The 14,903-nt window shown below is 49.3% G+C and overlaps 5 annotated features.

Moving 5' to 3' along the window:
- Window positions 1,016–1,105: an enhancer, noted in NCBI's record as "active region_18739". NCBI's record gives its function as "activates an Ori minimal core promoter by ATAC-STARR-seq in GM12878 lymphoblastoid cells {active_cell/tissue: GM12878}" and the evidence as "EXISTENCE:reporter gene assay evidence [ECO:0000049][PMID:35858748]".
- Window positions 2,746–2,835: an enhancer, noted in NCBI's record as "active region_18740". NCBI's record gives its function as "activates an Ori minimal core promoter by ATAC-STARR-seq in GM12878 lymphoblastoid cells {active_cell/tissue: GM12878}" and the evidence as "EXISTENCE:reporter gene assay evidence [ECO:0000049][PMID:35858748]".
- Window positions 3,476–3,725: an enhancer, noted in NCBI's record as "active region_18741". NCBI's record gives its function as "activates an Ori minimal core promoter by ATAC-STARR-seq in GM12878 lymphoblastoid cells {active_cell/tissue: GM12878}" and the evidence as "EXISTENCE:reporter gene assay evidence [ECO:0000049][PMID:35858748]".
- Window positions 6,972–7,021: a silencer, noted in NCBI's record as "silent region_13529". NCBI's record gives its function as "represses an Ori minimal core promoter by ATAC-STARR-seq in GM12878 lymphoblastoid cells {active_cell/tissue: GM12878}" and the evidence as "EXISTENCE:reporter gene assay evidence [ECO:0000049][PMID:35858748]".
- Window positions 14,470–14,619: an enhancer, noted in NCBI's record as "active region_18742". NCBI's record gives its function as "activates an Ori minimal core promoter by ATAC-STARR-seq in GM12878 lymphoblastoid cells {active_cell/tissue: GM12878}" and the evidence as "EXISTENCE:reporter gene assay evidence [ECO:0000049][PMID:35858748]".

Genomic DNA, 14,903 nt, shown 5'->3' on the forward strand with positions numbered 1-14,903 from the left:
GGGCTAGGAATACTGCCTAGACCTCAGGAACCACGGAATTCATCATCTCTTTCCTTTTCCTTAAAGTTTGACCTCCTGTGTGTGCCCTTCAACAAACGGTTTTTCAGCTTGTCCTGCTTTTGAACTTCATACGGATTGAAGAAGACCATGTGTATTTTTCATGGTTTGCTTCTTTCTCAACACTGTCTCTTTGATATTGATGTTGATGAATTACTCATTTCACTGCTGACTAGAAGCCCACTGTGTGGAGGTCCCATCACTCAGCTGTCCACTCTGCTGCCACTGACACATGGGCAGTTTTGCCCAGGAGCAGGGCATCAGAAACACCCAATTGGAGTCCAGTGTGACAGTTTGTCCAGGGCCTGTCATTGTACAACACATCATTTCACTTTGTTTTTCAAACATAGTGAATTCTTTCCTAATTAAAGAAGAAAAGAGTATAAAGAGAAAGTTTCCAGTGCAGCCTGGAGATCTGTACTGGTTGTATCTGGAATTCCAGACTCAGCCTTGCATTTCACATAGCAGATAGATGATGATGATGGAGAAGGAGAAGAAGAAGGAGGAGGAGGAGGAAAGAAGGAAGAAGAAGAAGAAGAGGAGGAGGAAGAAGAAGACGAAGGGAAGAAGAAGAAGGAGGAGGAGGAGGAGGAATAGACAGACTGACAAAGATTCTCTACGGTTGTCACTTAACAACATATCCATGCAGGTGTGGATAAACCTGGGTGCGCATCACACTGGGAACAAGCAGCTCCAACAACACTGAGGCAGCCTCTTCCCAAGTCAGCTGGACAATTAGGCTGCTTTGCTCAGGTCATTCACTGTTCTGAGCAGGACACAGCCAAAGCCCCTCGCCCCCACCTCTGTGCAAGGATCCAGTGACTGACTTGGGGTTGACCCTCTCTGCAAAGATCAAAGGTCATGCCTGTCTAAGGCCTTGGACGCATGTCCCAGACTGACTTCCAGAGAAGAGAGCCTGAACTGCCCTGCTGAGTGCCCAAAGAGGCCCCCCTGCATCCACGAAAGGTACCCATGAGGGTGTGGAAGGAGAGGCATCCACAGGAACTGGGCTCCCACCTGCCCCACCTGACCCCAGCTCTACACTGAGAATAGGAAAGATAGAGGGGCCCCCAGGGCCTCCTCCAAACTCCCCAGAGCATCCACTGTGAGGTGACCTGAACCAGGCCCCAAGCTCCCTCCTCAGGGAGGCCTCAGACTCCTCCACCTCCGCAGCCTCCACCGTGGCTGCTCTGTGTCTCTCTCTGGCAGCACCAACCACCCCCACTGCTACTGACACCACCATTGGAGAAGGCTCAGGGCTATGAGTTCAGCCTCTGGCTGCTCTGGAGATCTAGGGAGGCAGGAGGGCTGCAAGTGGGGGCTGGGAGAGCTATTCCAGGTCAGGGGTCTGTGGGCTGGAGTCTGTGAGGTGTGCACATGTGGGGCTGAGGGATGGCTGGAGAGGCCCTGTTGGTGGCCACTGTCTCCACCTTCAGAGCCCAGGAAGGAGATTTGGCCCCTCCTGCATCAGATAATCCCTAGCTCCTTAGTTCCCAAGTCTTCAGTCCCCAGCCTGGCTCTCCTGGGGTGGCTGCCCTTGCTGTGGGAGGCTGGGGGGATCTTCAGCCCAGCACCTCCAGCAGCAGGGCCTGGTGCCCCCAGCTCTGCACTGGCCCAGGTCTCAGATCCTGGGCTGTCAGCCCCTCATGGGTCCCAGGTGCCCAGCCCAGCTGCCCCAGGAGGCAGGGGGGTCTGGGGGACACCAAAAGAGTCTTAGAGAATGGACCTCACCACTCAGCCACACAGAAAAACTGAGGCCCAGAGGGGACAAAGGACTTGTCATGGGTCCAGCTGTGAGCCTGGCTGCCAGTCTTAAGGCCCAGTGCTCCCCCACAGGATGCTGTCACACACACTTGGCCCTGATGAGGTCCCCTCTTAGCTGGGATCCAGCCCCATGACCAGCACCCCGAGGCTGCAAAGGGTGCTGGGCTCCAGCACCCCAAGACTCCACATTGACCACTCTGAGCAGAGGAGCCCTTGGGTCTTTGGGGAGGTTAGAGAGCTGGCACCCCCACCCCAGTCTACCCGGCCCCGGGGTTCCTCTCTGGATAGGGGGCCCCAGTGCAGTTCACACAGGCCCTGCACGTGTTCCTTCCTCAGGGCATGCGTGGCTGAAGCTTGCTCAACACTAAACATCCCAGCCCAGTTTATTGAATGTGAGGGATACGCAGGGTCTGAGCAGAGCAGCCATCCCCTCCTGCCTCCCCTCCTTCCAGCGCTAGAGCCAGAGTGACTCCACTGTCCTGTGCCCACCCCCAGACCAAGGAGCCTCAGGACCACTCTTGGGGCAGGGAGCTCGAGGCTATAGGAAGATTGCCCCAGAGCAGGATGGCTGAGTGTTCAGGAGTCCAGCCATGTGGTAACCGTGCACTGCAGTGTCACCTGAACAGGGATGTCACCACGTGAAGGCATCCCAGCTGCATCCTTGGCTGACATATCCTAACTGTGCCTGTACAAGGGGCTCCACACACACACACATCCACACACACACACACACACAGTCACACTTACATACCCATTCATGCTCACACATTTATCCACACACATTCATACTCATTCACACACACACACGCATTCACACACTCACACCCACTCACATGCACTGGCCAGAGCCAGAGTCGATAGCGCCCTCTAGTGGCCACTGTTGTCCCTTCTCTAGAAGGTCTCTGTCTTATCAGTCACAACCCCCAGGAGTCTTCATCCGGAAATCCCAGGATGCACAAGTCTGGCAAGATCATTATCTCCTTTCACAGAGAGGGATGTGACCTGGCCAAGGTCCCTCATCAGGAAAGTGGTACAGCCCTCCCCTCCACCCACCACCAATGGTCCGGGTACTCAGATTCCGAATAACTCCAGCTCCTGAGGCCCTGTCAGAGCCCAGAGGCTGGGCCCTCTCCCAAGGGAGGGGCTGGAGCAGAGGATCTGGGGGCCCTTGTACACCCACCTGTCACATACACAGGGTGCACGGTCCCCCGGGAGGGAAGAAGACACCTTGGGGGAGAGGAATTTCCAGGCCAGAGAGTCCCAGAAACGGCTCTCCTCTGTGCCAGGTGGGACGGGGTATAGGAGGGGAGGGCCTGCCTGGGCTTTAGGAAAACACAGAAATGCCAAGAACATTGACACACAGCAGTAACAAATGCTAGCCTGCTGTCAACTATCACAGGCTTTTACTGAGAGGAAAATACAACTGATCAGGTTAGATTCCCCTCCGTTTCCCTCCCCCTTTTCCCTGAGAGAAACCCAGTGCTGCTCACTCCACATGCAGCCATTCAACAGCTCTGGATGTGGCTTTATGCCCAGGGGACCCAGTGGTGGCCTCGGGGGCCAAGCCCTGGAACCAAGTGCCATTGGGTGACATAGGCCTGGAACAAACACCACGTGATGCTGTCATTTGTGATGTGATGAGTTCTTTACGAAAAAGACAGGGTCAAACGGGAGACTGTGACAACTGCTGGTTTAGCTGGATGGTCAGGAAGGGACACCCCTGAGTCAATGAGGGGACCGGCCAGTTGTGGAGGTGCCTGGGGAGGAGCGCTCCTGGCGGCAGAAACAGCAAGTGCGAAGGCCTTGGGGTGAGACTCTGCTGACGAATTGCAGAAACAGCAAGGAGGCCATGTGGCCAGATCCAAGAAGAGAGGAGGGGTGAGGGAGGGAAGGGGTAGAGGGAGCTGGGTTGCAGGCGGGGGTGGGGGTTCCTTGGGGCCTTACAGACCATGCTGAGCAGTTTGCATTTGTTCTCAGTTTTCAAATGCACCTGAACAACATCATGTGGAACCTGTCACGCTCCTTCTAACTTGCTACATGTATATCTCTAGTACTAGGAGATGCAACTAGATAAATAAGACAGAGCTCCATGGTTCAACATACAAATAGACGCTGGTCCCGGCCCATCCCCAGTGGATGGACATCTGGGCTGTCTGGGTTATTCATTCACAAACACAGGCCAGTGAGCCCCTGCATGTCCCCGTGCATACATCATGCCTCCCAAGGACACACACTCACCCTGTAACTAGAGGGACACACGTCTATATTTGGGTTTACTATGAACTGAGTTCTCCCCAGAGCAGCCAGACTAATGCACAGCCCAGCAGGGCCACCATCTCATGCCCCACAACCACACCCTGCCTTGGAACTGTGGACGATTGGGATGTTCCTATCCCCAGAGAGCACAGACATCTGGCACCAAATGAGAACCAGGTAAAGCCCAAGGGCGAGGCCCAGCCCGCCGGGCGTCACTCGAAGGTCACCAGACCCTGCCACCCTGATGCCCATTCTGCTCCTGCCTCGTTGACCTTGGCCTCCCTGAGCCTCAGTTTCCCCATGGTTTTATTCAGAGGTTGCAGTCCTGGTCCCTACTCTTTTGAGTCTGCACAGACTGGGGCCCTTCCCAGCACTGCTAGCATGGGGGCAGAGACCCTTGGTGGCCGAGGAGGGTGAAGTGGGCCACCGGAGCCGGGATGGGATTGCAGGACAAGAGGGGGCCACCGGGTTGGGTAGTGCGACCCCCGGAAAGCACAGGGAGCTGTGCCCCTCCACAGGATTCCCGCCCTCAGAGCCCCTCCCCTCTGTGCCCCAGAGCAGAAGCTGAGCCTGGGCTGTGTCCATGGTAGAGGAAATGCTCCCTCCATTGGGAACAGCGTGGCCGGCTTCTGGGCTTGGGGAAGGAGAGGGAGAATTCTGGGCGGGCGATAGAGGGGCCCAGGTTCCCTCTGGTCATGACCTTGAAGTTGCCCAGGTGACCAGGAAGGAGGAGGGTGCTCCTCTCTGTCAAGAAGATCTGAGCTTCTCTTCCCTAGAATCAGCTACTCTTCTATCCCCCTAAAAATGTACAGGAATTTTGCACGTTGAATGAATGGATAGTTTACTAACCAGTTTGGGAAGAATTGACACCTTTCAATCCATGAATATCCTCTGTCTTTCCCATTAGTATACTTTAATAATTCTCAAGAAAGTTGTACAATTTTCCCCATAAACAGCTTGGACATCTCTGTAGATGAACCCCTAGTTTACTGATATACATTTGTTGTGAGTTTTTGCAGGGAGCGGGTCGGGGGAGGTGTTTGTTTCGGTTTTGTTTAGAGACAGGGTCTGGCTCTGTCACCCAGGCTGGAGTGCAGCGGCACAGTTTTGGCTCACTGCTGCCTCAAATTCCTGAGATCAAGTGATCCTCCCACCTCAGCCTCCTGAGTAGCTGGGACTACAGGCATGCACCACCATGCCTGGCTAATTTTTAATTTGAAATTGTTTTGGTAGAGACAGAATCTTGCTATGTTTTCCAGGCTGGTCTCAAACTCCTGGGCTCAAACAATCCACCCGCCTCAGCCTGCCAAAGTGCTGGGATTACAGGTGTGAGCCACTGTGCCCAGTCCAACTGATATTTTTAATGTGATTGTAAATTGTATCCCTCTTTAATATTATTTTCCATTCATCTGCTGATGTACAAAAATATATTAAATAATAGGCTTATATATTTGAAATCAGATCTGGTAAATTTGCTACACTTTCTCATAGTTCTAAAAGTGTATCTGTGCAGTCTGTAGGATTTGCTGCACATTTAAACATGTCATCTGTGAATGGTGACAATTTTGTTGCCATCTTCTCAATTCCTACACCTTTCATTTTTTTCTTTCACCTTACTCTCCCTGCTGGTATTCAGTACAATGCGGCATCCTTGTCTTGTCACAAAGGATGTTTATATACAGTTCACTATTAAACACGATGCCTGCTGTAGGTTCCTTGCAGGAGTCTCTCACCAGATTAAGGAAGTTATTTTACATTTCTCGTATGGTAAGTAGTTTCTGAAAATCATTCTTCAGATTTTATTCAATGTTTTTTCTGCATCTTTTATTGTGATTTTTTTCTCCTTTAATATTGCAATTTGTCATTCTTCTAATGTCAAACCGATTTTGCATCCTTGGAATGCATGGACCAGACTTGTCCATTATGTACTAGCCAGCACTATATGTGGCACTACTGTGATTAAGGCATCGTTTATTCTTCAGAATTGTTTTATTCTCTGGAGGATCTTGTGTAAGGTTGGAATTTCCTACCAGTGAATCTCTCTGAGCCAGTTTTGGGGTTGTTTTTGTTTGTTTTGAGACAGAGTCTCGCTCTTTGGCCCAGGCTGGAGTGCAGTAGCGCCATCTCAGCTCACTGCAACCTCCACCTCCTGGGCTCAAGTGATTCTCCTGCCTCAGCCTCTGGAGTAGCTGGGATTACAGGCTCGTGCAACCACACTCAGCCAATTTTTGTATTTTTAGTAGAGAAGAGGTTTCATTGTATTGGCCAGGCTGGTCACAAACCCCTGACCTCAAGTAATCCACCCACCTCAGCCTCCCAAAGTGCTGGAATTACAGGCATGAGCCACCGCACCCTGCCTAACCCAGTTTTGTTTGTGGGAATATTTGTCACTATGTATTCAATACCCTTAGAAGAACTGAGATTTTCTACTTCTTCTTGAGTCAAATATATGTGTTTGATTAGATTTTTCTAAGAATACTCTCATTTCATCTCAAAGTACTGGCATAATGTTGTTAAAATTGACTCTATTACCCATTTTAGGTATTCCACATCTATAAAACAACCCCCCGCCCCCAGCCCTGTTTACACTCGATATGGGTGATTTGTGCCTTCTTTCTTCTGTTTTTATTTTGTTTTGTTTTGTTTTGATATAGAGTCTCGCTCTGTCACGTAGGCTGAAGTGCAGTGGTGCAGTGGTGCAATCTTGGCTCACTGCAACCTCTGCCTCCCTGGTTCAAGTGATTCTCCTGCCTCAGCCTCCCGAGTAGCTGGGATTACAGGCGAGTGCCACCACACCTGGCTTATTTTTTGTATTTTTAGTAGAGACAGGGTTTCGCCATGTTGGTCACGCTGGTCTTGAACTCCTGACCTCAAGTGATCCGCCCACCTCAGCCTCCCAAAGTGCTGGAATTACAGACATGAGCCGCCGCACCCACCCAGTCCTTTCTTCTGTTCTTGATAAATTCACCGAATCAGTTTCAATTTCTGTAATATTGTAAAGGAACTAACTGCCACTTTCTTGCTGCATCATCCCACTGAATATATGATCTACTTCTTTAATACTTGTTCTTCCCTTTCTTATTTCCTTCAACTTTTCAAGATTATTTTACTGCATTTTTCTGAGATCTATGCATAGCTCATTCTTTTTCAGCTTATTTTCTATAAAATTTCTATACATATTTTAAGGTAATCAATTTCCCTCTATGTACTACATTAGCTGTATCTCACAAGGTTTTCATGTAATGATTTCATTATTGCTTAGTTCAAAATGTGACCTAATTTCCAATTTGAGAATCTCTCTAAATCACTGGGAACATATTTCCTCATTTCCAAGCATATGAGGATGTTCTAGTTATATTTTTGTGACTGATTTCTAGTATTTTGCTTACAGAACATATGTGGAATGTTTTGGTCCTTTGAAATTTGTTTAGGCTTGTTTTACAGGCCCACGTATGGTCCATGTCTTAGTCCATTTGGGCTGTTATAACAAAATCCCATAAAATGGGTGGCTCATAAACAACAGAAATTTATTTTTCATAGTTCTGGAGGCTGAGAAGTCTCAGATCAAGGCACCAGCAGGTTCAGTGTCTGGTGAGGACCTGTTTCTTAGTTCACAGAGGGTGCCTTCTTGCTGTGTCCTTATAAGATGGAAGGGACCAGGCAGCTCTCTGAGGCTTCTTTTATAAGGGCACTAATCCCATTCATAAGGCCCCTGGCCTCATGACCTAGTTGCCTCCCAATGGCCCCACTTCCCTAACACCATCACATTAGGTTTCAACATATGAATTCTGGGAACACAAGAATTCAGACCACAGTAGTCAATTTCTGCCCGTGGTCCTTTTCTTTTTTTTTCTTTTCTTGTTTTTTTGAGACGGAGTCTCACTCTGTTGCCCAGGCTAGAATGCAGTGGCACTATCTCAGCTCACTGCAAGCTCCGCCTCCCAGGTTCAAGCGATTCTCCTGCCTCAGCCTCCTGAGTAGCTAAGATTACAGGCATGTGCCACCATGCCTGGCTGATTTTTTTTGTATTTTTAGTAGAGATAGGGTTTCTCCATGTTGGTCAGGCTGGTCTCGAACTCCCAACCTCAGGTGATCCATCTGCCTCGGCCTCCAAAAGTGCTGAGATTGCAGGCATGAGTCACCGCGCCTGGCCAGTCCTTTTCTGCTTGAAGAGAATATACATCCCATAACTCTGGATGCGATGTTCCATAGATAAGTCCATTAGCTCAAGTCGATTAAGTCTTCTAATCTTCTGATATCTTCTTCAAGTTATTTCAGGTAATGCTTCTTGGCCATAAAGTTTTAAAATTTGATGTCAACATAACTATACCAATCTTCCTTGGAGTGGAAATTTCATGGTATCTTTTTAGCCATTCTCTATCTTAGCCCACCATTCTGGAAATAGGAGCTCTTCTCTAAAAGGCTTTCTTCATGCATCATTTCTGAAACGTGCCCTTATATTATGCAAGAGTTGTGTCTGTTCTCCTTGCATTTCCAACAGTTTAGTCACATCTCTGTGATGGGATTTCTTGGCCTTTTCTGCACAGTATCTGAGGCAGGGGCAGCACAGCCGGGCGCCCCTCCCCCATGCTTCCAGAGCACACATGTAACATCTGTTATAGACCATGTCAGAGAGCCATCCTGCAGGTCCCAGAAACATGACTCAAATGGCCTCAGACAAAGAGGGAGTTATTGCCTTGCATAACTGGAAATCCAGACGTGGGGCACTCAGAGCCGCCTGAACCCGGATGCCCAGCCCTGTTTCTCTGGGATTCTCTCCACCCTGTCTTCATCTCCGCATTGGCTGGCTTCCCTCATGGAGGCAAACAGCTCCGGCAGAGCAGGGCCTCACCCCATACATGAAGCCATCCAAAGGAGGAGGAGGTCGAGACCAGAATCCCAGGAGATGCAGAGAGGCCTATTCCTGATGACCAAGACCAGGGCTGAGGCCTACTGGCCTTCCTCAGGGCAACCAGGGGCAGGGTGGTGCAGGCCTCGGGCCTAGGACAGGCAGATGATCACCCCCACCCCCATCCTGCCAGGCCAGGGACAATGGAGATTCCTGAGCAAGCACAGCTCAAGAACCAACCAAAAATTCCAGCAAGAAGAACACACTTGGCAGAACTCTGGGGAGATGCAGCAGGAACCAGGTCCAAGGCCTCTGGTGTAAGGGTCTCCCCACCTGAGCATGGGGTGAGGAGTCCATGCTGGGGACAGCACAGCATCAGGAAGTTGGGGCTGTGGGCAGACCTGTCCTGGCTCTGTCTGTTTCTTGGTTCACAGAGGGTGCCTTCTTGCTGTGTCCTTATAAGATGGAAGGGACCAGGCAGCTCTCTGAGGCTTCTTTTATAAGGGCACTAATCCCATTCATAAGGCCCCTGGCCTGACAGCCAGGTCCCTGCTCTGTCTCCTGCCTGGAGTCCTGAGGACTTCCCTTGTGTCCACTCTCAGCCTGATTTTCCCACCTCCTTGCCAAGCATGGGCATCCCCTCTGCCCCTGCCCTGGCCCTGCTGCAGCTGTTACAGAGGGAGGAGACCATGGGATTTGGGTCATACCTTGGTCCAATTTCAGGTCCAATCATTTCCACCAGGGATATTTGGAAAGATATGTAACACCTTTCGGGGTAATGGCTACTTCAAGTTCATATGTACCATGTTTTGTTGATTTGAGGATTAAATGAACATGTAGGTGAATGGCCTGTCATGTTACTGGGTACAGGATATGGGCTCAGCACTGGTCACCCCTTCCCTTCCTTTTGGTTCAGAGACAGAGCCTGTCCCCTAGTCCTTAAGCACTGGGGGCTGACCTCACATACACTGCAGATCACCCAGAGATACACAGGCCAGCATCCACATTAGGCTGAGCCCAGAGGGATGGAGTCACAATCACACAGGGGAAAAGGCTGAAGAAAAGGGAGGGTTGGGCCAGATGTGGGTGGGGTGGCTCACACCTGTAATCCCACCACTTTGGGAGGATGAGGAGCGAGAATTACTTGAGGCCAGGAGTTTCAGACCAGCCCTGGCAACAAAGTGAGACCCACTTCTCTATTAAAACAATTTTTTTTTAAAAAAATCAGCCATGCACTTGTAGTCTCAGCTGCTTGGGAGGCTAAGGCAGGAGGATCAGCTGAACCCAAGAGTTCAAAGCTGCAGTGAGCTATGATCACACCCAATGCACTCCAGCCTGGGCAAGAGAAAAGAGAGAAAAAAGAAAACAAGAAAGAGAGCGAGAGAGGAAAGGAGGGAGGGAGGGAGGAAGGTAAAGATAGAGAGAAAGATAGAGAGAGAGAAAGAGAGAGAGAGAGCCAGATAGATTGAGAGAGAGAGAGAGTTGGCTTTGGGGCCTGAAGAAGGCAGGATACCCATTACAGGACCCAATCAGAGTTCCTCCACCAAAGTCACATGATTGAGCCTTTTTAACAACCAGAACTCACGGGACAATCACTATGGCCACAGATGTGCAGCCTGTGAAAGATGAGTGGCTGCAAGTCACACCACCAGCCATGAACACAAAGCCTGGTGGGCCTTTATGGCTGGAGGCAAGATGTGCCTCAGTGGAGTGGGCCACGTGGACGCATCTCCCAAGTCACACACAAGGTGGCCAGTGCTGAATGGGAACAGACAATGAGAAGTCTCTGCAGCAAGCCTAAGCTCCAGTGCAGGTGTCTCTTCCACTTGGACCTTATAATCTGGCACATTCAGTGAAATCCAGTATCTGTGGAGAGACTGGGGGTGCCACACGGAGCATCTGGCAAGCAGCAGAAGAATCACCGTGCAGACCTCTAGGACGTGGGAGCAAGTCTGCACCCTCTTCTGCAGGTGACTCTGCTTCCTCTGAGAAACAGCTTCCGCTCACCACTGGGCCTTGGTGGAAACTAAATGCCTACCCATAGGACACCAGGCAAGCACCCAGCCTGAGCTTCCCACCATGACCTGGGTGCCCTGACCCATGCAGCCAAAGCAGCAATCAATCACCAGAGGAAACTGCCTATAAGAGCCCAGGCTCAGTCAGGCCCAGAAGGGACAAGCAAGTGTCATGAGCAGGTGGCTCAGATCCCTCAACACCTGCTCCTCAGACTCCATCCAGCCTAAGGCTTCCTGGGCTGTTCCTCAGGACCAACTGACTGAGGAAGAAAACACATGAGCTTGATTACAGCTGGGTATGCACAATGTGCTGCTGATCCCTGAAGGTGACCAGCTGCAGCACTACTGCACCACTCGAGCTGCCCTGAATGACACAGGGAAGGTTGGCTTGCCCAGGGGCTGGAGACTGATGGGGGTATTTCGCTGGCAACTTGGTCTGGATTGAGAGATGGCAAATAACACAGATGATGGTGACTCATGAGGAGTTGCTAGAGGTTTGGCTGGTTGGTCAGGGACTCAGAAGGATCAATGATCAGATTTGAAAATTAATGACAAGGAAGGGTGGGAAGAGGCATAGGGATGGGCCCCTCATTATGGACACTATGAGCAGACACCAGCATTGCATATGAATGCTGACCACATGGCACATGAACACTCTCTGCAGAAGAGGCCTCGATAATCAGGTGGACAAAATGACACATTCCATAGATGTCAGTCAACCTCATTCCCCAGCCATCCCAGTATTTGCCCAGTGGGCTTGTGGACAGAGGGGACAGTCATGGTGGCACACGTAGAGGCTGTGCATTACCTCATGAGCATGGCTGCTATGGCTTGGATGTGGTTTTTCCCCTCCAAAATGCATGTTGAAATTTAGTCCCCGTTGTGGCAACGTTGGGAGGTGGGACTTCATGGGAGATATTTGGGTCATGGGAGCAGATCCATTGTGAATAGATTAATGCCTTTCCTGGGAGTGAGTTATTGGTCTCACAGGAATGGCTTACTTCCCTCGAGAGCAAGTTGTTAAATAAGAGAGTCTGGCTTCCTTAGTTTCTCTCTCTTGCTTCCTCTCCCTCCATATGGTCACTTTGCCTGCTCCCCTTCCATCTTCTGCCATCAGCTGAAAAAGCCTGAGGTCCTGACCAGATGTAGCTGCCCAACCTTGGACCTTCCAGCCACCAGAATCATAAGCCAAATAAATGGCTTTTATTTATAAATTACCCAGCCTTGGTTATTTTGTTATAATAACACTAAATGGCCTAAGGCAGAAAATCTCCCTCTTCCTAAGGTTGACCTGGCTACCACTGACAAAAGTGGCCAATCTGTCAAGGGCAGAGACCAACACCAAGACCCTTATATATCATTAATGTCGGGGGCCAGCCAGCCTCCTGCTGGCAGATTAATTCCATTGATCTCTTCTACCATGGAAGGGGCACAAATTCTGGATATGGATTTGCCATCCCTGCTTGTAATGCTTCTTCCAGCATCACCAACCCTGGACTCCTGAGATCCCTGGCCACCATCGTGTCATTCCCCACAGTGCTGTGTCTAATCAGGGAACTGATTCCACTGCAAAGGAAATGCAGCATGGAATTAACTGCTCTTACTACATACCCATGCCCAGGCACGGCCAGACTAAAAGTGGAGTGACTTACTGAAGACTCAGTTGTGGCACGACTTGAGAGATGGCACCCTGAAATATGGAGGTCCTATCTTAAGGGTACAGTCTATGCTTTGACTCAAGACCATCAAGTGACAGTGTTTTAACGGTGCCTGGGATATTTTTAAATCAGGTATGGTAAGACATGCAGACAAGGAAATGACTGGTATAAAGAAAAGATTTGTTATACTCACAGATCTCAAGAAAAGGGAACAAACCACGCCACACAGGGCCACACAGAGAAGCAGCAGCATTGGTCAGGAGGCAGAGGGGAGGGGGAGAAAACAGGCAAGAACCTCTATTGTGGTTTCCACTGGGAAGGAACAGGGGAGGCAAGGTAAGCAGGTTTAGGATTGGCTAGTTTGAATAATTTTGGTGGGCTCTGGAGCACAGGAACAACTAGATACCTACTTGTCTGGTACCTGGTCTTGGAGTGATGAGGGCAGGTGGATAGCAGCCCAGCCTGTGAGAGCCCAGGAAAGAAAGTGCTTCAGGGCCGGGCGCGGTGGCTCACACCTGTAATCCCAGCACTTTGGGAGGCCAAGGCGGGTGGATCACAAGGTCAGGAGATCGAGACCACCCTGACTAACATGGTGAAACCCTGTCTCTACTAAAAATACAAAAAATTAGCTGGGCATGATGGCGGGTGCCTGTAGTCCCAGCTACTCAGGAGGCTGAGACAGGAGAATGGCATGAACCCAGGAGGCAGAGCTTGCAGTGAGCCAAGGTCGTGCCACTGCACTCTAGCCTGGGTGACAGAGCGAGACTCTGTCTCAAAAAAAAAAAAAAAAAAGTGCTTCAGGGTATGGGTTCTGGATTGGTTGGTTTGCACAAGAAAGGCTCACTGTTTGCCATCTCTAAGAATTAGCTAACCCTGCAAGGGGCAGTGCCCCAGGGTCAGCAAGGCCCCAGATGTCAGATCATCAGAAAACAGAAAATAAAAGAGCATGGTTAATACACACAGTCTCCCCAGGAGCCACAGTACATGGGTCTGAGAATAGATGGATAGAAGTGAGAGTGGCTTCTTCCACAAATAATCCTCCTAATACGCTCAAATAAGGTTTGCTTGCTATCCGAACATTTGAGCTCTGCTGCTTTGAAGATCTTAGTTCCCAAGAATATAATGCCTCTCCCAGGGGACACCACAATGGCTCCATTGAGTTGGAACTAACAGTCAGAAACGGGGGCAACTTTACTGGAAGGACTGATTGGTGCTAACGAGGGGAAATTGGGCTGCTGTGTCACATAGTGGGGGCAAGAAGGACTTCACCTAGAACCCCGAGTACTCATCATCTTAGTACTTCTGCCTACTCAGACCCTTCAAGAATGAAGGTTTAGATCTTCCCACCAGATAAAGATCTGTAACCAGCTGAGGTTCTAGCTGTGGAACAGGGAAATATCAAATGGGTAGTGGACAAAAGAAGTCACAGATAGCATCTGTGGCTCATAACTAGGGTTTACCAGGTTTAGTAAACGAAAATACAGACGTCCAGTGAGATAGTAACTTCAGATAAACAACAAATAGTATTACTAAAAGTACTATTTGTATGTCCTATGCAATATTGGGGACATATTTATGCTTAAAAATGCATTCACTGTTTGGACATCCTATATTTTATCTGGTAATTCTATTCATGACCAAGTAAAAAAGCACATTTTTTTACTTTGCTTGTCATGTGTGGTATATGTATGTATTTGGAGTTATTAACCATTTATCTTTTCTTATTATGAGTTGTTAGCAGAGTATTCAGTGAAATTGTGACTAAAGATGAAGATAAACTAATATAGTTAGCTGTGGATGCAGTGGCTCTTGGGAGCCTGCATCTCGCTTGGAGGAGAGGGTGAGAATTTCGTTCATATAAAGGATAACTGCTTCTTATTAGACGGAAACAGAGTTGTTTTTTGGTTCCTCAGAAGTTCAAATGTGTGTAGAAAGATAAATACGGAAGCTAAGTAGGAAAGCGGGTGAACTCTGCCAGTTATCAGCGGAATGTTCTAGCTGCAAATTGCCCCTTTCTCGCAAGCTCTAGGAAGCCGGCTGGTAAACAGCGCCCTCCTTTGCCCGCCGCTGCAATGTTAGGCTTTGCCAAAAGAGAGCACCTGGGGGAAGCTGCGAGGCCACCGCGGCGAGAAGGTGCTTTCCTGTTTCCCTGCTGTCCTTTCTTTTTATTCCGCACAGAAGCCATATATATATATATATATATATATATATATATATATATATATATATATATAGTGTACATTTATATATTAGGCTTTTAGGCCATATATATATGTGTGTGTATATATGTATATGTATCGCTAC

Source organism: Homo sapiens, chromosome 22, assembly GCF_000001405.40.
Source record: "Homo sapiens chromosome 22, GRCh38.p14 Primary Assembly".
NCBI lineage: Eukaryota > Metazoa > Chordata > Mammalia > Primates > Hominidae > Homo > Homo sapiens.